At 42.5% G+C, this 23,201-nt stretch overlaps 1 long non-coding RNA gene and 1 other non-coding gene across 2 annotated transcripts in view, besides 1 other annotated feature; one reads left to right on the top strand and one right to left on the bottom strand.

Annotated features, from left to right (window-relative positions):
• LOC107987166 (uncharacterized) overlaps nt 1-21,451 on the top strand; it is a 160,015-nt gene extending 138,564 nt beyond the window's left edge. The window contains exons 2-3 of the long non-coding RNA XR_001748403.2: nt 15,223-15,445; nt 16,068-21,451. This is a non-coding gene — a long non-coding RNA (uncharacterized LOC107987166). The remainder of the gene's footprint in view (nt 1-15,222; nt 15,446-16,067) is intronic.
• Nucleotides 4,326-4,826: an enhancer, noted in NCBI's record as "H3K4me1 hESC enhancer chr11:116201553-116202053 (GRCh37/hg19 assembly coordinates)". NCBI's record gives its function as "activates a minimal SCP1, AML or CMV promoter by ChIP-STARR-seq in naive H9 embryonic stem cells {active_cell/tissue: H9 hESC(naive)}" and the evidence as "EXISTENCE:reporter gene assay evidence [ECO:0000049][PMID:30033119]".
• On the bottom strand, nt 15,217-15,318 carry LOC124902834 (small nucleolar RNA U13). The gene has a single exon (XR_007063019.1). It is a non-coding gene; the product is annotated as a small nucleolar RNA U13 (small nucleolar RNA).
• Nucleotides 21,452-23,201: the final 1,750 nt, after the last annotated feature.

The following is a 23,201-nucleotide window of genomic DNA, read 5'->3' as shown; positions in this document are numbered from 1 at the left end:
AAGCTGAGTCTCAAACAGATGAAACAACTTAGTTCAAGGTCAGCCTGGGAGAGAGTGGTAAAATCATTATTATTAATTCCAAGCCAAGGCCCATGGAGAGTGGGATCCGAGGTAGGGTTTCCTTAGCACAAAACTTCACTGCAGCCACCAGGACATCAGACCACTCCCACCTAGTCCCCCTTTCCTGGGTCAGTAATTCAATCCATGACCCCCCACCCTTCCTGCCCCCATCCCACTGGTAGAGTCTTAATGGGGCCTCTGCCATGCCAAAGCAGCCTCTCTGCTGAAATAACGCTGGCAGCTGTCTGCTCTGGGAGGCAGAGGCATGAAAAGAAAGCAAACCCTTTTCCCTGGACCTACTGAAATGTCACCCTTGGACATGGCTGTAAAGCCTCTGTTCCCAGGGGAGCAAGCCTGGTGGCTCTTGTAATTAAATCTCATTTCTGTCCCCCCCTTGCTGCCCCCCAGGTACCTGGACTTTTCTGGTTCTCACTTATTGCTGGGGGGCCAAGACCCAACCTGTGGGGTTCAGGTGCTCACCAGCAGGGTGCTTCTTCCCTCCTAGGGGAGCACTTGGAGCATCAGACTGACTCGACTCTTACTGTAGGCTCTGCTGGGGCGAGGCATCATCTGTTCCAATGGATGGATGTGGGGGCTCAAAGGCCCCTCTGCAGACTATGAAATCCCATTGATGCTCTATTCTTATATTTCCCATATAAAAGAAATACATTGACTAGGTCCCCAAAGGGGTAAGGAAGGCAAGGAGATTTTCTGAAGACCTCAAGAAACTTAGAGTTGAAAGAGACCTTATGTGAAATCTTGTCCAGGCTTTCACCCAGTACAGAGGCCCCGTCCGCAGCGACCAGCCTGTTTGACAGGTCCAGTGACCAGCAGCTGTCTACCTCACAGGCTCCCCATCCCATGCAGGGAGCAGTTCTGATTGTTAGGAAGTTTGCTTCATTGAAACAAGCCTTCTGGGAACTTCTACACTTCCATCCTGGTCAGCCTTGTGGAGTCACAGCCTAGTCATAGCCATCATTCAGTGGGTGTTTACTTTGTGCCTCTCTTTGTTTGGAGAGCTTTGCATATGTTAACTCATTTAACCCAGGAGATAAGGAGCATTATAGCTATTTTATAGATGAGGAAAATGGGGTACAGAGAAGTCAAGAAACTTGTCATAGGTCACCCCCCTAGTAAATGGCAGAGCTTAGATTTGAACACAGGCACCCTGGCTCCTAAGCACATCTTTTAAACCTCTAAACTGCCAGGTAGGTCTCAGCTTCCCTCTCCTTCAAGTGGCAGCCTATCTCATATTCGAAACTGTCAATTGTTCTCAGTGGAACACTTTGCATCTTTGCCACTGTTTCTAAACCCTAGGTATCCTGGTCACTTTCCTCTGTTTGTTTTAAAACGAGATAGAGCATAACCCAGTGGTCCAGATGGGCCCAACCAAGGTAGACTATAGAGAGGCTGTTTTTTTCTTCCTTCTAATTGTACCCATTTAAGATTTCTTTCTCTTCTTAGTAGCCGTACCACCATATTGAGCTTGTGGTCAACTCAGACCCCAAGATCTTTTTCTCATAGATCTCTGCCAAGCTAGAACTCCTTTACCTTGGACTTGTCCAGTTGATTCTTTGAACCTAAATGTAGGACTTCATACTTCACACTACTAGATTTCATCTGTGTGATTTTGGCTCATATTCTAGCCTGCTGAAATAGCGAGAGTCTTAGTCTGCCATGCAATTAATCTCTCCAGTTTGTCATATGCAGATTAGGTAATCATCCTGTCTCAAACTTCATCCATGCCATTGGTAAAAATGTTGAATGAGACAGAAGATGAGCCTTGTGCCTCTTCTCTAGAGAAAGATTTCCCACTGGGTGGCAGGAAATCATTCTTTTGAAATACAAATGTTTGTGATTTTTGTCTTCATCATTCTATATTAATCCTACATTGAATGCCTAACTATATTTCAGGCAGAGTGCTAGGCACTGAGGAAGCACAGATGTTCAAGTCAAAATCCTTGCTTTCACAAAGCTCCCCCCGGAGTTGGGGAGATGCACAAAGACAAATAATGATGACATCTGAAGTCAGGAGTGCTGGGAGCGGGTAGGGAATGGGCCCTGAGGGGCATTTTTGATTTCATCATCTAGCTATTTGGGTACCATCATCATTTTAACTCAGTCATCCTCTCTACTTTGTGACTCATTCTCTGGCTTTATTTCCTCTGCATTTAGAATGATAACCCCAAATTCAACAGTGCCCTGGGGAGCCTGTGTGTGTAGGTGTGGAGGGCAATGGAGATTAGAGATAGAAAGGAAGGAGTGTTAAGTTTCCTCTTTTGAATCGAGAGAAGGGGTGAGTCAGACACAGAATATGTTAGAGAGAGGCTTTGGCTTTGAAGGGGTTTCCTGGGTGATCCTGACACTGGTCATCCCCTAGAAGAGGAGAAATGAGGAAACTGATCTGTGAAGGGTGTGAGGCCTTTGCTTTGGAGGGGTTTCCTGGGTTACACGGATGCTGCTCATCCCCTAGAAAAAGAGAAATGGGGAGATTGAGCTGTCAAGTGGGTGGGGGTCAGGGGTGAAATATGGGGGAAGATGGATATTTTCTTGCTCAGCCCAAGTGAGGTTTTGCCCATGGCTTCGTGACTTGACAGATGGGAAGTTCCTGGTCATCGAACACATTCATCTTACCAAATATACAAGTCACTCCAAAGACAACCCAAAGTGATTTTTGCATTGTTTGGGCCACAGCCCACTTTGACCTCTGTTGGCCCTTGTGCCCCTATTTCATGCTGGGTGACTGCTAACCCCAGGCCACCACAGACCACATCTGGTCCAAGAAGAAACCTTGATGGGAATGCTTTACAGTAATGTTTGCCCCCCAGCTCGGAAAGCTCAGCTGGGTGTTAGAGCACGGTAATTCATGCCAAAGGTTGCTCCTCACAATTTCTCTTTTTCTCCCTCTCCCCCTGCTTTCCTCCCCCAGTGGGAGAGGAAAAGCAGCTATGCTTATAGAAAGATTGATTAGTTAAGCAAGTCAATTATATCTCTTGCCGAGAGCAACTGTATATTAAGTAATGCAGCAAAAATGATTGTCTGCACAGATCCATTTTGTGGAACAGCTGTTCCAGAGGCCCGGAAAGAGAAGACGAAGGTTAAAATCCCGTAATAGTCTTCGCTCCCCATCTCACCCCACCCCATCATGCCTGGCCCTCCGGGGCTCCATTTATTATGAGATGGAATAAGGTTGGGTAATGAACATGCTGGCCGCCTGCTCCATTTTGCGGGGAAACTCCCCCGCCATGCCACGTGCTCCAGGGCCTCCAACAGTGCTGGCCCTGCTGCCCTCCTGTCTGGTGGAGTTGACTGAGGCCTGCTCACAAGTGGGCACTCTCCACCTTGCTCCCAGTCCAGCTCAGCAGCTCTGATGCAGTGGAAGAGCTCTGGATGTAAAGTCTGGATGAGACCTGGGTTCAAATCCAATTGTTGCGTGTCTGATCTCACCTAAGTCTTTTAATCTTTCTGAGCCCTAATTTTCTTGTTAGTAAAATGCAAAAATATTTAAATGGGATAAGGCATATGGACAAAATTTGGGGTCTCTGACATATAGGTTAAGATAATGACTTAATGCTGGATGTTATTACATGAGACAAGGAGGAGATGGAGAGAGGGAAGTCCATGTATGATTAACTAGGTGCTGGGCAGGGCCACCAGGTGGTTTAGCCAGAAGTATTGGAAAAGACCAGATATTCATATGCCACATGTAATCAACCCAAGCTCCTTTTTCCTAATCACTGAAGCAAATGGGTAGGTTTTGCTTCCCCCTAGTTGTGCCAGCCCCTTCCTCTGGGTTACAGCTACTGTTTTTAGCTTCCATCCTGTAAGTCTGCCCTTGGTGTTTATTTTAATCCAGTGTCTCTTGTATACAGGGTGATTTGTAGGAAATCCCGCCCCCACAGCCATGGCATTGGCAGGGAGTAGCCAGCCCCTTAGTCCGCAGTGGACAGTCCAGCAGCAGGGTTGATGCTCAGTGGGCAGTGGGGGCATCTGGGGACACCTGCCCCTTCCTGAACTTGCCCACAGGAGTGTTGGGGCCAAGGCTGATGACTGCCTCCCTCTTCCTGCCTATTTTGGGGAGGGACTCAGCCAAATCGTGAGGTGGCAGTTTCTACTGTAGGTCAAACCTTTCACCCTTATCAGAAGACATCTCTCACCTCTTTTCTCTGTCTCAAGAGGGTACACCAGCTGGATCGAGCTTCCACCTGAAGTTTGTCATTGTCCCTTAATGCTTCTGGCAGAGTTTCTTCTCCCTGTTAGAAGAGAGCTGAGTTTGGAGAGGAAATACTTCAGCTTTATCGCTGAGGGGTACCTCACTGTAAATGAGCCTATCAGATCGCCTGCTAGGAGGACATCCTGTTGAAAGAGCTTTGGGGTTGTATAGGTTAACCCCCTTATGGGGCAACTGAGGCCCAGAGAGGGGCATAACCCAGGTGATATGGTGGCACAGTTAGAAGAGCCCCATCTCCGGAGACCTGGGTTTACTTCTTCCATTGGGCATGGCTTTCTCCTCTAGGAGAGTCAGTTTTGACAAGGAGAAGGCAAGGGCAGGCTGGCTGTGTGCCGTTGTGACTGTGCTAAGGGGGTCAAGTGCTTTTCCAGTCTTGGGCACAGCAGTGTTCCAAGTGCAGTCACAGTGGCCGCTGGCTTCCAGGGCTGGCAGTCCTTCCCCCAGCTGGAAGGGCCCTCATCGTCCGGGGCCAGGGCTCAAATTCAGGTCAGACCCAGGTGGCCCAGGCTCCTTCAGGGCTGAGGAACTCCAGCTCTCCTGATTTCTGAGCAGTTTCACTGATTCATTTTTCAACCCTCAGGCCACATGTGGGCAGTTAGCATAGAAATGGCTGTTTCCCGATCTGCTTGCCTCTCCCAGGTCCATAAATAGGAATCTGCCAGTGTGTGCACAGAGGGGTGGGTGGTAGAGGGTGGTGGTGATGCTGACAGTGACCCACATGGCCATCCAGCCTTGGAAACTGGGCCCTTGGCTGGCAGAGGTCTCCAAGCCAGGACAGATAAGGCGGGCATTGCAGCTACTTCAAGAAAATGGCCTGGGGAAATGACCACCTGGGCCCCACTTCTCATAGGATGCCAGGACTGAAAGGGTCCCTAGTGGTGAGTGAGTCCAGCCCCTTGTATGAAGCTTGAACCCCTTTGCCAACCCTCTTGGGAAATGATGGTGCACCCTAGCCTGGCAAGAAAGGAAGCGTGACCCTGGCCTCTCTCTGTCTATGTATCTTGTGCTGGAGTGAACTCAGGACTGGATGTTTGTTCAAATTAGGATCTAATTGGGTTAGGGCATCAAGTTCAACCTCTGGGACTTCCTTTCCCCGCTCCTCATCCTATGCCAGGAGGAAAATACCAAATTGATCTATTAGTGATATTAAAGAGATTTTCTTCCTACTTCCCAGTTCTTGTTCCACCGGTGTCTCCCAAGTGCCTGCAAAGAAAGGGCCTGAAAAAAAGCCGAGCCTTTAAGCACATGTTTTGTGAATCTTCTTTTCTGTTGAGGGTGGGAATGTAGGTCACCAGGGAGAGACGGTGTGGGGGAAGATGAGGACAACATTTCCTCCCAATAAGGGAGTGTCAGCTGTGGCATAGAGACCCAGGCAACCAGAAGGGCAGAGAGGAAATGGCTTTAGGAACCATCTAGTTCAAGCCTCTTATTTTACTGTGGAGAAAACCAAGCCAAGGAGGGGAAGAGACCTTCCCCTGGTCACATGGTGAACCCATGGTTTGGCTGGGGTGGGATCTAGTCAGGGATATCTATGGTTGAGTGTGGATACTGGCCCACAAGTCACACTGTGAATAGGGAAAAGGGATCTCAGTGGGTGCCTGCTGTTCTTTGACGAGATTCCCAGCCCCAGAAGAGAGCCTCATGGGAACCAGGGGAGGCCCTACCGGCAGTGGGACTGTAGAATCTTGGAAGCATCTCCTCCCACTTCCTGAACCGGAAATACTTTCCCTACCCATGTCTTTTTTTTTCCTTTGAGTCAGAGTCTTGCTGTGTTGCCCAGGCTGGAGTACAGTTGCATGATCTCAGCTCACTGCAGGCTCCGCCTCCTGGGTTCCAGTGATTCTCCTGCCTCAGCCTCCCTGGCAGCTGGGATTACAGGCACGCACCACCGCTCCTGGCTAAGTTTTGTATTTTTAGTAGAGATAGGGTTTTGTCATGTTGGCCAGGCTGGTCTCGAATTCCTGACCTCAGATGATCCACCTGCCTTGGCCTCCCAGATTGCTGGGAGTACAGGCGTGAGCCACCACACCCGGCCACCCTACCCATGTCTTGATATGTAAGATTCCAAGGTTTGAATGTTTATTCCCTTAGTTTAATGCATCTGTGTTTTAAAAGGCAATGTGTAGCTGTGAATGAGCTTTGCCAGGTCCCTTTGTGAGTGCTTGTAGATGGGGGATAAGCAGGAGGATAGAGTGAGAGGGGAGCCTGGGAGTGCAGAAGGGAAGCTGCAGAAAGGGAGACTAAGGCTCATGAAGAGGGCTGGTCCTCCTTTTACAATGTTCCCCGGCCTCTAGGCCTGGAGCTGGGGTGGGCTGGCTGGGCCAGAGGTGTGGGGAAGGTGGGTGCATGGACCTGAGGGTACCATCCAGTGGGTGTTTGCTGTTACAGCCCTATCCAGGCCAGCATCAGAGGAATTGCTAGAACGGATGTATTGGCTTCAGAGATCCACCAGACCGCCCACTTTTATATTCCTGGGAGAGTTCACTTTCTCTACAAGATTCCTCCTCTAGCCTTTCCTGTGTGGTTAACTCCCTGGATGGCCTATACCCCATCTCTGCTGCCTGTTGTATGACTGAACTCTCCACCACCAGGGTGTGATGTGTCCCCTAATTGACTGTAAGGCCTTGGGGACAGGTCTTAGATGGCATATAAAATTTGTGAGGCAGGCAGCGGTCCCAGGGCCCTCCTGCCCAGGAGCTGCCCCTGGCATCCCCTGCATGTATCCTCAGAACTGGTGTGATGTCACAGCCAGGCTGCAGAAGGAGTACAGTTTGCTCTTCCGGTGCTTCCAGCCTCGTGGGCAGTCAGGCAGGCTGATTGTGTAACTGTGGGGAGCAGGAGCGAGCCACATGTGTGGGTTCAGGCTGAACTTCAAGATATGCTCTTCAGATCTGAGGGGTTTCCCACAATGTTTGGGTGATGAAGTTTCCTGCCACTCTTAATCTCTGGGCAAAGGATAGTTTCTACAGCTGTCATCAGATAGCTTTGCCATGAGTCTCAGCATCCCAGCATGTAGTCCAGGATATTGTCCCATCCTCTAGGCCAAGTCTTTGCAGCTTCTCTTATGGCCCCCCAAAACACAGAAGAGCTCCTATGGTGGGAAGTAGAGAAATATCCTCGAAAATAAAGTGTGCAGTTCCAGCTCTAGAGGCAGTTGGCATGGAAGTTGTTATTTGCCCTGGACTGCCCGTAGTATGTGGATGAAGGTAGTACTGTGGAATTAAAGGGGCAGATTGTCCCACAGCAATACTCAAAGAGTTCTGAAGTTTCTGAGTCCATGCCAAGTCCTGGCAATGTAACCTGTTCTGCTTGTATGTGCCCATCTCCTCTAGCAATGGCTGGTAGCAAAAGTCTCTGCAAGGTGGTGGTGGGGGCCTGCTGCACCCCTGATAGAGATACTAACAAGTTGGCTGCCAGAGCCCATGGGAGTACCTGGGAATGAGGCTACAGCACCTGGTCTAACTTTTTCTTTGTGATGAACCTGGGAGAAAGAGAAGGAGACAGAGACAGAGAGAGAGAGAGAGAGACAGAGGAGGGGAGGGGAGGGGAGGAGATGGGAGAGGAGAGGAGAGAGAAGAAAGAGAGGAGAGAGAGGAAAGAGGAGAAAACTGTAGCAAATAATGACCCTCTTGTACAGTACACTGAACAACTTGTCAGTGGCAGCACATTGCGTGGACAGTGATCAAGATGGGGTGGGAGGTAAATGCTATGTCTTGTTGAAGATGGTTGAAGAAAATGTAGATGTCTGGTCTGGAGGCCAAAAGACTGGTGGGAGTGTTATAACCATCTTCTGAGGGCCTGTGTGTGCATGAGAGGACATGCTTGTTCTCCATATTTCTAATGGGCAGAAATAGGACATGTGTAGAAGCCAAAAGGGACATAGATAGCCTTGGGCTCCATGCAAGAAAGAGCTTTCTCCAGCTAAAGCTGACCAAGGGTGGCCTGGGCAAGTTCCTGATCACTGGATGTAGGCCATTGAGCAGAGGCTGGGAAACTTCTTAAGAGGAGAAGGAGAGTGAGAGGCAGTTGGAGTCCCTACAGAGATGACTCCAACTATGTGGGGTTGGATGAGATGACCTTGAAGGCTCCTTCCAGCTGTAAGATTTTCAGGTTTGAGAAGACTTGGGTCACTGATGATTTAGCTTCCAGGCTGGGCTGGGGCTCATTGCAGCTGCTCTGGGCCTGCTCCACAGTGTGTGGGAAGTGGCAGATCCCAAAGGTGACTGGGCAGATGCAGGGTGAAAGTCTCATGGGATGAATGTTCTTTGCGTATGAGCCAGAGAGTCAGGCACAGAATCACAGTGGCTGAGGGATTTAACTGAGTGAGGCTTCCCATGAGGAAAAGGAAAATTCCACCAAAACTGCCCCTTCCATACACATTCTACTGAATTTCTTGGGTAGGTTCACTTGCTGGGGTCTAAGAGGCTGGTAGATGTTCACATAAAGTGTAGTGACTTGGTAGTGAAAGCATTACTAAAGTCAGAGGGACTTGGATTCCAGTATCGGCTCTGACGAATCCTGTAAAGAGGACCTTGGACAAATTATTTTCACTCTATGAGTCGCTTTAATTTTCTCATCTGTGAAATGGGGTAACAGTTTCTATTTCACAGAACTGTGCTGAAGGCTAAATTAGGCAATGCCTGAAAGGTGCAGTGTTTCATGGTAGGATTCAAAGGTAGTCAGTTCCACCTCTCCTATGATCTGGGCTTTCTTATCTCCCTCACTGTCTCTTAGCTGTCCCCTCCTAGGTCTCATTTACAGTGATATCCCTGATGTCCAGCATGGGGCCTCATATGTACTAAATCCCTGTTGGTGATCTGACTGGCAGGCACCTACCTTGGGTAAGATGCACGGCCCCAGGAGCTATTGCTTACCTCTGGCTTGTTGGGAGATCAGCAGGCCAGGAGAAACCCAAGGTCATGGCCTGCCCTCTGCAGATGTGCCACAGAAGGGTGCAGGGTGACTGCTGGAGTGAGAATCCAGATGCTGGGAAAGGGAAGTGGGTGGGAGCAGGTAGAGGTTCTCATTGCAAAGCCAAGTGGCTGAACAAGAACAAAAGCATAAAACCCTGCACATTAACAACCCCTTTACTAGCTGGTGCTTAAATCTTGTATCTCTAGGCGTGTACCTGTAGACTGTCAATATGCTCCCCTGTTCCACACCTGTGCTTCTGTTGAGATCTGATGCAGCAGGTGAGACACTGTTTAGCTGCAGCTCTCCAGAAATTACTGGTTCATCATGGTACTGTGGTCCCCTGCTCGGCACTGGGCAGCTTGGAAAACAATGGGCACTCCAGAGCAGTGTGGAGCAAGGCAAGAGAAAGAGGTGATCCAGAAAGTCACAGAGGATTTTTGGTAGTTGTCTCTGTCTTGCCATACTTTCATTCCTGTAGTATTGGGCTTTCCTGGATTCTGCACCTTTAAGTTATGTGGACACATCCTCATTGGCCCTCTGCACACTCTAGAAATTTTCCCAACCTCTCCTTGAATGCAATGTCTGTCAAAAGCCAGAATAATGTTCAAGGGATTGGACAAAGCTAAACTCTTGAGGCTAATGTGTTGTTGCTCTAGAGACCCCTAAGTGAGGGGTACACAAGCAACAAATCCTGTCTTGGGTCACAGAGCTGAGTAGAAGCTTTTCTTAGATAGGACAAGCCCTATGAGTTGTACTCACCACCCTACATCCACTAATACCTCTTTATATGCTGTGATTTTTTTCAGTGTCTATTACATAGTGGCTATTGAACAAATATTGATTGATAACAAAAAGAAAATAATCCATTTTTTTGCATCTACCCTGCGTAAGGCACTTGCTATGCATTGTGTTTTACCTCATTTAATCCTTATAGCCACTGAGAAGCAGACACCATTATTCCATTTTATAAGGAAGAGAATAGAGACTCGAGACATCTCAAGGTCAAACAGTATTGCTGCAAAGCCCACACTGCTTCATCACGTCATCCTGCCCATTGCCCCTTACTCTCAAACTGCAATTGATTGCATCATGTTATATTTTTTCCCAGATTTATCTTTCTGGTATTTCATTGAGATCTTTTCATTTTCTGGGATTACCTCCACAAGTTTTGCATGTGGAAGTGTGATTATATTTTCCTTTGAGTACTTAGCTCCTCACTGAGAGAGGGTCATGTGGTTGGAACCACCAGGTTTCCAATGACTTTTAAGAGATGTTAGCACACCTTTACATGTCAATTATACTTTAAATATATAAATTATTCAACTTTATTGAAATAGCCAAGTATCATCATTCAGCATGAATAAAATAGATTCTGGGAACAGCTTGATAACATTTTTACCCATTCCATAACTATTGTCAGTTATTGCTTCATGTAGATCCAGTATTATCTCAGGACTTGAATAGAACAAGCTCACCAGTGATTTCTCCAGGGCTTGTGCATGGCTGGCACGTGGAGGATGTTAGGACAGTTTATGATGGAATGTCCAGTTCCTCAGCTATAATAGTCTTTGGTAGTCAGAACAGGATAGTTCCCTCCTTGGCTTCTAGTGCTGTCCTTGTCCAAGAAGATGGTTACTAGCCACATGTGCTATTGGGTTATTGAATTATGGCTATTCTGAATTGAAAGAAATGTACCCCAAGTATAAAATATACACTGGGTTTCAAAGATATAGTACAAAAGAGATGTAAAATATTCCATTAACATTTTTATTACATATTGAAATAATAATATTTTGGATATATTAGACTAAAGAACTGACTACTGTATTAATTTCACCTGCTTCTTTTTTACTTTTAAAATTGCTTATGAGGCTGGGTGTGGTGTTTCACACCTGTGATCCCAGCACTTTGGGAGGCCGAGGTGGGTGGATCACCTGAGGTCAGGAGTTCAAGACCAACCTGGCCAACATGGTGAAACCCCATCTCCACAAAAATACAAAAATTAGCTGGGCATGATGGCGGGTGCCTGCAATCCCAGCTACTCGGGAGGCTGAGGTGGGAGAATCACTTGAACCTGAGAGGCAGAGTTTGCAGTGAGCCGAGATCGCGCCATTGCACTCCAGCCTGGGCAACAAAGCGAGACTCTGTCTTAATAAATAAATAAATAAATAAATAAATAAATAAATAAATAAATAAATACATAAATAAAATTGCTTATGAGAAAATGTAAAATTACATATGTGGTTCACATTTGTAGTTGGCATTGTATTTCAATTGGACAGTGTTGTTCTAGAGAATGCCTTAGTTTGCTGTCCTTGATCAATCCTCAAGTTCCAGGTTGTTCCCAGATTAAAAGCCAAAGTGAAACATAAATTTTAGGCAGCAGCTTAATTCTTGTTTTTGTGAAGCATGGCAGGCTTTTCCCTAGTTAGAAGGTTTCTCAGCTGCCTTACTGACTCCTCCTACTTAACATCCCTCTCCAAAAGGAATTAAGGTCTTTGACCTGTACTTGAAATTTGTTGCAAATTCAGCTAGTGGTACTTTTATCCATTAGTCAAAAGAGGTTATAGAAAAGACTATAGCATCTGAGAATGTCAACACAAGGTTGGTCAAAAAGACAATTTGAGGTATGGTTGTACTCAGATCAAGGCTGGATCAGGCTTAAGTGACCAAAGAGTAGACCAACGTTAGGATGAGAGCCAATCAGATTATCCGAGCGGGGATCCCAGGGCCACTGTAGACAGCACCCAAGGGCCTGTAGTCTGGCCAGAACTCACAGCAGCCTTTTCATCTAAGGCAACAAGACTCTCTTCTCCCCATCTCCTCACCAATTCCTGTCCTGATACCTTACTCCCAGAGTTAAAAAGGCAAAAAACTTCTAAGGTAGGTTCTGATTCTCTGTGAAAGAAGTTGCCCTTTGTCTTCTTTCAGAAAAGCCCTAGAGAAGGCTCAGGTATTGGTGGTCCATCTTCTGCACGACTGCACTCTCCATTAGGGCTTAGATCCTTTCTAGGTTGGTGCGAGTCTATGGTCCCATGAGTAATTTCCTCCCTTTGGGCAGTTTTTCTATAAGGCTGGACTCTTGAACAAGGCTTGGATCCCAGAGGACCTTTAACAAGGCATGAACACAGTCTCCATGACAACATTTTTTGGTGGAATCCAGCTGCCCTCCACCCAGTTATTGAGAAAATGTTCTCTAATAATCCATCTTCTCTCGGCTGTATACAGATTATGCATAGCTTTTGCTATGGGTAATGTCTGCTATGCATAAGTTCTATGTTTATGAAAGACTGTTTGTTTGTTTTTCAAGTCTTTATTATTCAAACACACATAGGTAGAGGAAAAAGTATAATGAATCCCCATGGACTGTCACTCAGTCTCAGCAATTACCAACATACGGCCATTAAAAAAAAAAATCTATGTTTCCTACTTCTCCCTACCCCCTGCTAGACATCATATTATTTCATCTGTAAATGCTTCAGTTATGTGTTTCTTGGAGATAAGAACTCTTATTCTTTAAACATAACCACAATACCATTGTACCATCTAAAAATGTGAACTTTATTTTAGCTTTTATGAAAGCAATACATTTTCATTGAAAGTATTCAGACAATACAAAAAGGTATAAAGAAGAAAGTGAAAATGACTCATAAACCAGCACCTAGGTACAATTACTGTTAGCATTTTGTTAGATATAGTTTTATATATTATGCTTAGTACATATTATTTATACAAACTTACATATATAGAATCATGCTATGGATGATGTTTATAACCTTTTTTATTATTTTTGGCAAGCATTTACAAAATTGAAGTATAAAATGCATACAAAGAAGCGTGCAAATTACAAGTGTACAAGTTCACAAATTTTCACTGTCATTTAACCAACTGTCATCCAGATCAGGGAACATTATTACCTGTAGCCCCAAACTTCTGTCATGCCTCTCTTAGTCATTAACCCCATTAAACATAGCCACTATTCTGACTTCCATTGCTACAGATGAGTTTTGCCTACTTTTGAATTTTATACAAATAGAATCATGCAGTATGTGCTTTTCTCTGTGTAACTTCTTTTGTTCCATTTTATATTTATAAGGTAAATCTGCGCTGTTGTATGTAGTAGCACTAATTCATTTTTTTGTTGTTGTGTACTACTCCACTGTGTGAGTATATCACACTTTATTTATCCATTCTACTATTGATGGACTCCTCCTGCCCTGACCCAGTGTGTTGCTATTAGGAATATTATTTTGTACACATATGCGTGCATTTCCACATATATTTTCTACATGACATTTCCTAAGATATATACTTAGGAGCAGACTTGTGGTTTTACCAACTTATGCTTATACCAGCAATCTATAAGAGTTTCATTTGCTCCACATCTTTGCCATTACTTGGTTATTATCAGTGTTTTAAATTTTTTTATTCTGGTGAGTGTGTAGTAGTAATTCATTGTGGTTTCTTAATTTACATTTCCCTAATGACTAGTGAAATTGAGTGCCTTTTCATAGGCTTTTTGCATACACGCATATCATCCTTTGTGCAGTACCTATTCATATTTTTCACATTTTTCTGTTGGAAAATGTGAAATATGTATACTTCTTCCTACTGATTGTAGAATTCCTTTATATATGTTGGACATGAATTTATTCACAGTGTATAGTGTGAATACCTTCTCCTACTATGTGAATTGCTTTTTCACTCTTTTTTTTTTTTGAGATGGAGTCTCACACTTTCACCCAGGCTGGAGTGCAGTGGCACAATCTCAGCTCACTGCAAGCTCCGCCTCCTGGGTTCACACCATTCTTCTGCCTCAGCCTCCCGAGTAGCTGGGACTACAGGTGCCCGCCACCACGCCTGGCTAATTTTTTGTATTTTTGGTAAAGACAGGGTTTCACCATGTTAGCCAGGATGGTCTCGATCTCCTGACCTCATGATCTGCCTGCCTCGGCCTCCCAAAGTGCTGAGATTACAGGCGTGAGCCACCGCACCCAGCCTGCTTTTTCACTCTTAAGGTATCATTTGATAAACAGAAGTTTTAAATTTTGATAACAGCTCATTACCAATATTTTTCTTCATGATTAATGTGTTTTGTGCCCTGTTTAAGAAATATTTGCTTACTCCAAAGCCATTAACATGTTCTCCCATGTTCTAAAAGCTTCATTGTTTTACTTTTCACTTTTTCATTTACAACACATCCAAAATTGATTCTGTGTATGGTGTGAGGTAGGGATCAAAATTTGCTTTTTTTTTTTTCATATGAATATTCAATTGATTAAGCTTCATTTCTTTAAAAGACTATTTCCCATTGTTCTGTCATCTTGCCTTTGTGATAAGGCAAATGACAGCACACATTAGTCTGTTTTAGGGTTCTCTATTCTGTTCTGTTGTGCATTGGCTAACTTTGTGCCCTTTCTACAAGCATCTTAATTACAGGAGCTTTATAATCTATCTTAATATCTGGTAGTTTAAGACCTCCAAATTTGTTACTATTTTTCAAAATTCTTCTAGTTATTTTAATACTTTGCGCTTCTACATAAATTTTGGATACAGTTTGTCAATGTCTTCAAAATTTTTTAAAAAGTTGAAAATTTTGATTGTAATGACAATGAATGTTTTATCAGTTTGGGGAGAATTAACACATTTACCATATTGATTTTTTCAATCAGTAACTATGTTATCTTAACCCACCAGTTTTGGTCTTCTTTAATTTATCTTAATCATTCATATTGGTTTTTTGTCTTCAGGTTTTGCACATATTTTGTTGTATTTATTTTACGGTACTCATGTTTTGATGCTACAGAAAAGGATATTTTATAATTTTTTAAAAAAATGTTGGTTGTATACATAAATACAATTAATTTTTGCATGTTGAGCTGTGACCTCGTTTGACTTGTTGATAGAATTGAAATTAATTTAACTCTATCAGTTTATTTGTACATTATTTTCAGTTTTCAAATACACAAAGTGACAGCTTTATTTATTTTTTTCCTTATTTTTCTTTTTCACATCAGATGGGTAATGTGCCAACATCATAACAAGGTTCAAGGGAGGCACATCTCATACGAGTGTGAAAAGGCAATCATCATGCTTATGAACTACAAGATTATCCTATATATTCATTTTCAATTATTTTATCCTCCTCTGCCTCTTGCCCTGGACTATATAAGACCTGCAATATAATGTTGAATAAGGAAGGTGAAAACGAACATCATTGCATCACTCCTGATATCAAAGGTAAGTCTTTCAATATTTATCATTAAGAATGGTGTTTGCTGCAATTTTTTTGTCGTTGTCCTTTATGAAATTAAGGAAATTTCCTTTTGTCATTAATTTGCTAAACTTTTTATTCCTTTCTAATTTTAAACAAGGACAGACATTGAATTTTAGCAAATGACTTTCCTATATCTATTGAGATAATTATGTAATTTTTTTCTTCTTCATCCTTTTAATTGGTGAATTACAATCAATTACACTGATCAATTTTTAAGTAGTAAACAAACTTTGCTTTCTTAGAATAAGCCCAAGTTAATTGTATTGTTCTTTTTATAAATTGCTGGATTCAATTTACTAATAATTTGTTTTGAATTTTTGCATCTATGTTTGCATATGATCGGCATTATTTTTTTTCTTCAATGCATGGTAGAATCCACTGGTAAAGCCATTTGTACTTAACTTTTGCTTCAAGTGTGATATTAGGTATAGGTTATTACAGATGGACTTTATCAGGGCGAGGTAGTTCTCTTTGATTCCCAGTTTTCTGAGAACTTTAAAAATAAGAAATGATCATTAAATTTTGTCAAATGCTTTTTCTGTATCTATTGAGAGGATTATATTATTTGTTTTTTTTTTCTGTTAGCATGGTGAATTATATTAATTTTTGGATATTAAACCAACCTAAAGTTCCTGGTCATGAAGCATTATCCTTTTTATATATTATTGTATTTGATTTGCCTAAGATGTCTGCTATTATTTGTGAGTATTTTTGTTATTCCATTTTATTACTTTTGTTGACCTATTTGTTATAATTTTTTGTTTTGTCATTTTAGTGTTTTCTTAAGGATTTATAGTATACATTTCTAACTTATTGCAGTCTAACTGAAGGATAGGAGAGAGTCATATGAAAGACAGAAAGAACTTCAAAAATCTGCAGAGGGTTTTCTTTAAATATTCATCTGGATACTACTAAGAGTATACATTTGAGGAAACTACCTGTGGCCAGGGAAAGAAATACCTGAAAAGATGAGATGCGGCAATCTATGGCTCTCATACTTGACTGATGTGGTGACTATTCCCACTATACAAAGTGGAAACCATAATTCATAGAGCATCAGGGACAGAATCCAGAAGTGTTTTGCCTTGGTAGTGGAGAACATTCACCCTAGAATAAATGCTACTCTAGTCTTATCTAACAAAGCTGAAAAGCAAGCTTCAAAAAGGTCAACCTGTTTTCAAATATTTTAACTGCATCTCAGAAAAAATCTAAGGAATACTTATAGGAATACAAAAATATCCAGCACCTAAACAGGATAAAATTTATAATGCTTGGCATCCCATAAAAAAACAACTGTGTAAAGAAGCATTAAAATTATACCCATAATGGGGAGAAAAATCAATAAAAATTGATCCAGATGGTAGAATTAGTACAAAAGGGCATAATAACACTTATTATAACTATATTCCATATGTTCAAAAAGCTAAAAGAAATATTATGCTATGTAAAGTAGAGGCATAAAAGATATAACAATAGACTCAATTTGAACTTCAAGAGATGAAAACTGCAATGTTTGAGATAAAAAATACACTGAATAAAATTATGGTAGCTTAGACATTGTACAAGAAAATATTAGGAAACCTGAATACATAGCAGGAGTTTCTGCCATTGCTATGAAATTATTTATTTTTCCTTGCTGCAAATTTTGCATTTTACATTTTGAGGCCATGTTATGAGGTGGATACACAGGTAAATAAAATACAGAAATACAATAAGACTAAAAAAATAAAAAGAGAGAATTAGTGAGCTGTGGTATGAGTGAACCCTAACTCCCCTGGTCTCCTCTGACTCTTGATCTATCCCCTCAATTCAGAGATCACTGGACTCCTCCTGGGTTTCCCTCCTTGCACCACAGCCTGGAAACTCTCTTTAGGCAATGAACCAAGGGCAGCTGTAGAGTTCACTTATCTCCTTTATTTCCCATCTCTCAGAAATCACTGTTCTTTTTTGCTTAATGTCTAAAGTTTTAAGAAACATTGTTTCACAAACAGGAAAGTAAAATTTTCTTAAAATTCTTAGTTATTTTCGGTAGGAGGGTATATCTGGTACTGGTTACTCTACCTTGGCTCCAAGAGGCTGTGAGGTATGGTATTTTTATATATTTCAATTAGTTTAGGTTTATTAAGTATATTTTTCAAATCTTCTATATCCTTTGTGTTATTTCTATGTGCCTACTCTGTTACTGGGAAAAATATATGAAATTATTTTTCCTTGCTCCAAATTTTGCATTTTACATTTTGAGGCCATGTTATGAGGTGGATACACAGATAAAATTTTTATATCTTCCCAGTGGATTGATCGTTTTCTTATTATAAAATATATGATATATGTTTTTATATTGTTTTTGTTATTGTAAAACATATTTCATTTTCTCTGTCAACTCTTCTTGCCTCAAAGTCTACTCTATCTAAAGACAGTATAGCCATACTATCTTTTTTTGGTTAGTGTTTGCATAGTATATTTTTTTCCATTCTTTTCCTTTCATCCTTTTTGTGGTCTTATATTTAAGGTCCATCACTTGTAAGTAGCCTATAGTTGTTTATTTTCATCATAGTTATTGAAAAGCAATATGAATATTTCCATGTTCCTGCATGGTTAGAGCTTTTGGAACAAAGAAAATTGACATGCTCTAACAATGGAGCATTTCTCTTCTCCCCAGACACATTTGCTTCTCACAGTCTAAGGATGATAGACCTGGAACCACTTTTTTCCTTTGTAATGGAGCCATCTGCTCCTATTCAAGGGATAGGCAAACTCATCTTGCCAAGAGCCAAATACTTGCACTTCAGAGTAGAGACTTTTTCTTTTCTCTTCCCCGAGAAAATTTGTTTGCATTAGAAAAACAAGGCTCCTCTCCCTCTCTTAGAAGACGACAGGGAAGGCAGTTGTATCTGTTTCTATGTAAATGCCCATACTTATAATTTTGGAACTTCTCTCCTGTAAAGCCAGAAACCAGAAACCATACCGCCGCCCCACCACCCCACTCCCTGCCTTGCATGCACAGGCCTAACCATCTGGGTCTCATTGCCCCACACCTCAGTGGGAGATTGGGCATGGGAAACTGCTGTCGTTATTGCTGTGAGTAATAATAGTCTTCTCCAATTCAGAAATTTTATGTTTGTCTTCAGGATAATATAAATATATATAGACATTAAGATCTTATCAATAGTCTTACAATTTTTGTTTCCAGTATAAGGATTTAGTGTATTTATCCTTTTTTGTGATTACTAACATTTTGGGGCTTAAGTGCACTACATGTTTTCTATTTGTATCTTCCAGATGCCCCTTTTGTCCTCCTTTCTTTTCTTGTTTTGAGTTAATCGAGTGTTTTTTTTTTTTGTTTTGTTTTGTTTTTTTTGAGATAGAGTCTTGCTCTATTGCCCAGGCTGGAGTGCAGTGGCGCGATCTCAACTCACTGCAACCTCTGCCTCCTGGGTTCAAGCGATTCTCCTGCCTCAGCTTTCGAAGTAGCTGGGATTACAGGCACCCATCACCATGCTCAGCTCGAGTTAATCAAGTATGTTTTCTTCTTTTTTTCTTTTTCTTTCCTTCTCTCCCTCCTTCCTTCTCTCCTTCCCTCCCTCCCTCGCTCTCTCTGTCTCTCTTTCTTTCTTCCTTCCTTCTTTTTTTTTTTTTTTTCAGAGTCTCGCTTTGTTGCCCAGGTTGGAGTGCAGTGGTACTCACTCTTCACTCCTCCCACTTCAACCTCATGAGTAGCTGGCATCATGGATGTGTACCACCACATCTGGCAAATTTTTGTATTTTTTTTAGAGAGGGGGTTTTGCCATGTTATTCAGGCTGGTCTCGAACTCCTAAGCTCAAGCAATTCACTCAGATTGGCCAGCCAAAGCACTGGGATTACAGGTGTGAGCCAGCATGCCTAGCTTTGTTTTCTTATTTCCATTATTGTGTTAGTTATATAGTTTTTTGCTATCCTTTTAGTGTTTATTCCTGAGATTACACATGCATCTTTGATAAATGATAATAAATGGACAATTATTACTTTGATCACTTTTATAATTTCTACTGATAAGTTATCTATGTATTATTGTTACTCATTTGAAAATAATGTGGGTTTTTCTCTGGCTGCCTTAACTATTTCTCTTGGTTTTGGATTTTTGGCAGTTTGGGTATGGTATGCTTGAGTATACATTTATCCTGCTTAGGGCTGTCTGAAAATCTGTAGCTTGATGTCACTTGTCAGTCTTAGAAAATTCTCAGCCAGTAATTTTCAAATATTGTTTATGCCACATTTTTTTCTCTCCTTTTCCTCTGGGACTCCAAATATATTAGGCCTTTTCATCGTCCCATATGTTTCTTACACTCTTTTCTATATTTCCATCTCTTAAAAATATTCTCTCTTGTTATAATCTGGGTGTTGTCTTCTAATCTATCATTCCAGCCTCTTCCTTCTTTCAGTGGTGTTTAATCTCTTGTTAAATACAACTTACTAATTTTAGTTATATATTTTTAGTTTTAGAATTGTAATTTGGTTCTTTTTATAGATCTCAAGGTGGTTTCTTTGCTGAAATTTCCCATTTTTGATCTATTTCCTTATAGATATTTATCACAGTTATTTTAAAATCTGTGTCTGAAAACACCAATATTTTGGTTCAGCTGTGAATCTGTTTCTATAATCTGTTTTTTATTTTGGTTCTTAGTTATTTCATTTTATGTCCTAGAATGTCTAGTTAGTTCTTATTAAATGTCACCCATTGTTATGAAAAACTGTAGTCTCTGGATGATGTTATCATTTTCCAGTTAAGGTTTACTTAGTCAATTAGGGTGGGGGCAGGTCATCTGTATCTGAAGCTCGGTTCTATTCTCTGTGAAGGTTCATAAATTCCCTACTTGCTTTTATTCTTTGGCTTTAGTACTTCGTGTGTCCCAAATTAAAGCCTGAAATGTTTACCAGGTCTCCTCCTTGGTGGTCTTCAAGTCTCCCTAGCACTGTAAGAGTGCTAAAATGCTCTTTTTAAATTTTCTAGCCTCATAGGCACTTTTTGGTTAGGTTTCTCAGCCCCTCAGTTGCTGATTACAGATCACAAATGGCTTGAGAGAAATTGGCATTGAATATTGGGTTCACTTATTTGATCTCTTCTCTCCAGGATCTCATCTCCTCATGTCCTTGATGCCTTGGTAGCTTTGAACTTCTATTTGTCTCCTCAGCCACATGAGACTGTCTAAAACTCTGCTTGGCCTTACAGTATCTTAGCTACTGTCTGATGCTTATCTTTTCAGTCTGAGCTGCTATATATGATTCAGTGAATACACGAAGGGAAGAGCAATCATGAACGGAGGGCGCTTCTCAATTCATTTCTCTTCAGAAATTTGGCTCATATGTCCTGCCTTCTTTGGTAGATCTTCAATAATTGTAAAAACCTTTTTTTCTGGCCGGGCACAGTGGCTCATGCCTGTAATCCCAGCACTTTGGGAGACCAAGGTGGGTGGATCATGAGGTCAGGAGATTGAGATCATCCTGGCCAACATGGTGAAACCCCGTCTCTATTAAAAATACAAAAATTAGCTGGGCATGTTGGCACACGCCTGCAGTCTCAGCCACTTGGGAGGCTGAGGCAGGAGAATCGCTTGAACCCAGGAGGTGGAGGACGCAGTGAGCCAAGATCACCTCTGCACTCCAGCCAGGCAGCAGAGCGAGCATGAGAATCTGTCTGATACAAGCCAGTCTATCACAGACAAGAAATGAAATCTTGTAACCTGCTTTTATGAAGGAGTTTGTGACTTTGTGTTAGACCTGGAGATTAAGGAGAAAAAGAATAAAAAAAACATGAGGGAGAAGAGTTAGGAAAAGATTAAGTTGCTTGACATCCAAGAGGCTTGGCATTGCTGCAGTCCACCTTGTTCCTCAGATTAGTAATTACATTTTGGTCTTGCCACTGGGTTGGAAGGAACCTGGAAGCTGTTTTCAGATATCAGAAGGACTCTACTGTGGCTTTGGCAATAATGGAGGAAGGGTAAAAGGGAACAAGGGCTGATGGTATAAATAGAAACTGAAACAAATTTTGGCTTGATCAAAAGGAAGTATTTTTAACAAAGATGGGTTAGAATGAGGATCAATGTGAAATAATGCATTTCTTATTCATAAGGCATTCAAAGACTGTCTACCTGGGGTGAAGCCAATTGGCCAACAGCTCTATGGCTATTCAGAATTCAGACAGCAATTGTAAGGGTCCCATACCTGAGAGAACATGAGGGGTCTTAAGGCCAGACTCTCAAATGCCAAGTGCAAGGCAAAACAGCACTAAGCTTTGAATCAGAGAGACTTAGAGTTTGATTTTGGCTCTTCCGTGGGCAAGTAGCCTAACTTTTCTGAGCCTTAAATAGAAGACATTAGAATATTGAATGTGAGATGGACTAGACGGCTTAGTATATACTTGATCATAGTAGGTTAGGAGCTCAATAAATATTTTCTTTTCTTTTCCTTTTTAAGAGACAGGGTCTTTCTTTGTCACCCAGTCTGGAGTGCAGTGGCACGATCATAGCTTACTGCAGCCTGGAACTCCTGGGCTCAAGTGATCCTCCCATCTCAGTCTTCCAAAGTGCTGGGATTATAGGCATCAGCCACCATGCCTGGCAGGAGCTCAATAAATGTTGAGCAAACATGTGATCTACAGAGTCCCATCTAATGCCAGGATTCCATTATTTTATAAGTGAGGAAGCCAGTGTAGCGTGGTGGTGTGGTATAAAGCACACAGGGCTGGGATGCTATGTTTCCAGAGTACATTAGGAGGAGGAACGGAGAATACCATCTTTTCCATTTCCTCCTCTCACAATCCCTTGCTTCAGCCAACTCTACGCGTCCTTGTTAAACTTACATGTTAAGCTGAGCTCCAACACAGAGCATAAGAGCCTAGAAGAAGTGGGGATGAATGAAGACAACAGGAGCTTTTTCCATAGTTGTGGGTATCCCTGTTTCTTGTCCTCTAAGGGGCTGCAGATGTGGTTTTGCAGAGCCTGGCATCTTGCCCTCCTGAGGCAGTCCCAGCCTGCCCTGGGAAAGGTGCCAGCTAGGAGGTCATGTCCTGGCCAGTCCCCGCCTCCCTCCTCTCTGCGGCATTTCCTCAGCCCGGGCTGGTGCTGCCTCTCCCGCCATCACTGCAGACTGAAACAGACTAATCAGTGCCCCTCGCCTGGGGAGCTCAAGGCGGGCACCCTTCCCCCATTTTTATCCCCAAGCAGTGCTAAGAGTACTGCTCCCACCAGCTGAATCCTGCAAATGGTGCTACTAAATATTTCATTCGGGCTTAACAACTCAATCTGCCTGCCATTATCCTGAGGGCCCCCACAGCCCCCAGCCCCTTTCTGATTAACAAAGTAGCCGGCCGGGAAGATCTGCCGAAGCCATCATTGAAGGCTGTTAGCTGCTGCTCAGGGCGGGCTTGGGCAGAGGCACAGCATTAAGCAGGAAGCATCGATTGCAGCATTAGCTGGCTTTTTACATTCCCAGGCAGACAATGCAAGTACCTCCAATTATCTTCAAAGCAACTGAAGGGAAGGAAATTGGTCTTAGATGTGGTAAATAGACTCCACAAAGTTCGCTGAAGCATGCAAAGATGTGCACACTGGAGACAGAGAGGCCTATCTGCCAATCCTGCTCCATGGCTGTTCAGAATTCAGACAGCCATTGCAGGGGTCCCATGCCTAAGAGAACATGAGGGGTCTCAAGGCCAGGCTCTCAAATGCCAAGGACAGTGCAAA

Source organism: Homo sapiens, chromosome 11 (assembly GCF_000001405.40).
Source record: "Homo sapiens chromosome 11, GRCh38.p14 Primary Assembly".
Classification (NCBI taxonomy): Eukaryota; Metazoa; Chordata; class Mammalia; order Primates; family Hominidae; genus Homo; species Homo sapiens.
The sequence above is the reverse complement of the archived record's forward strand: the minus strand, read 5'-3'. Positions and strand labels throughout refer to the sequence as shown.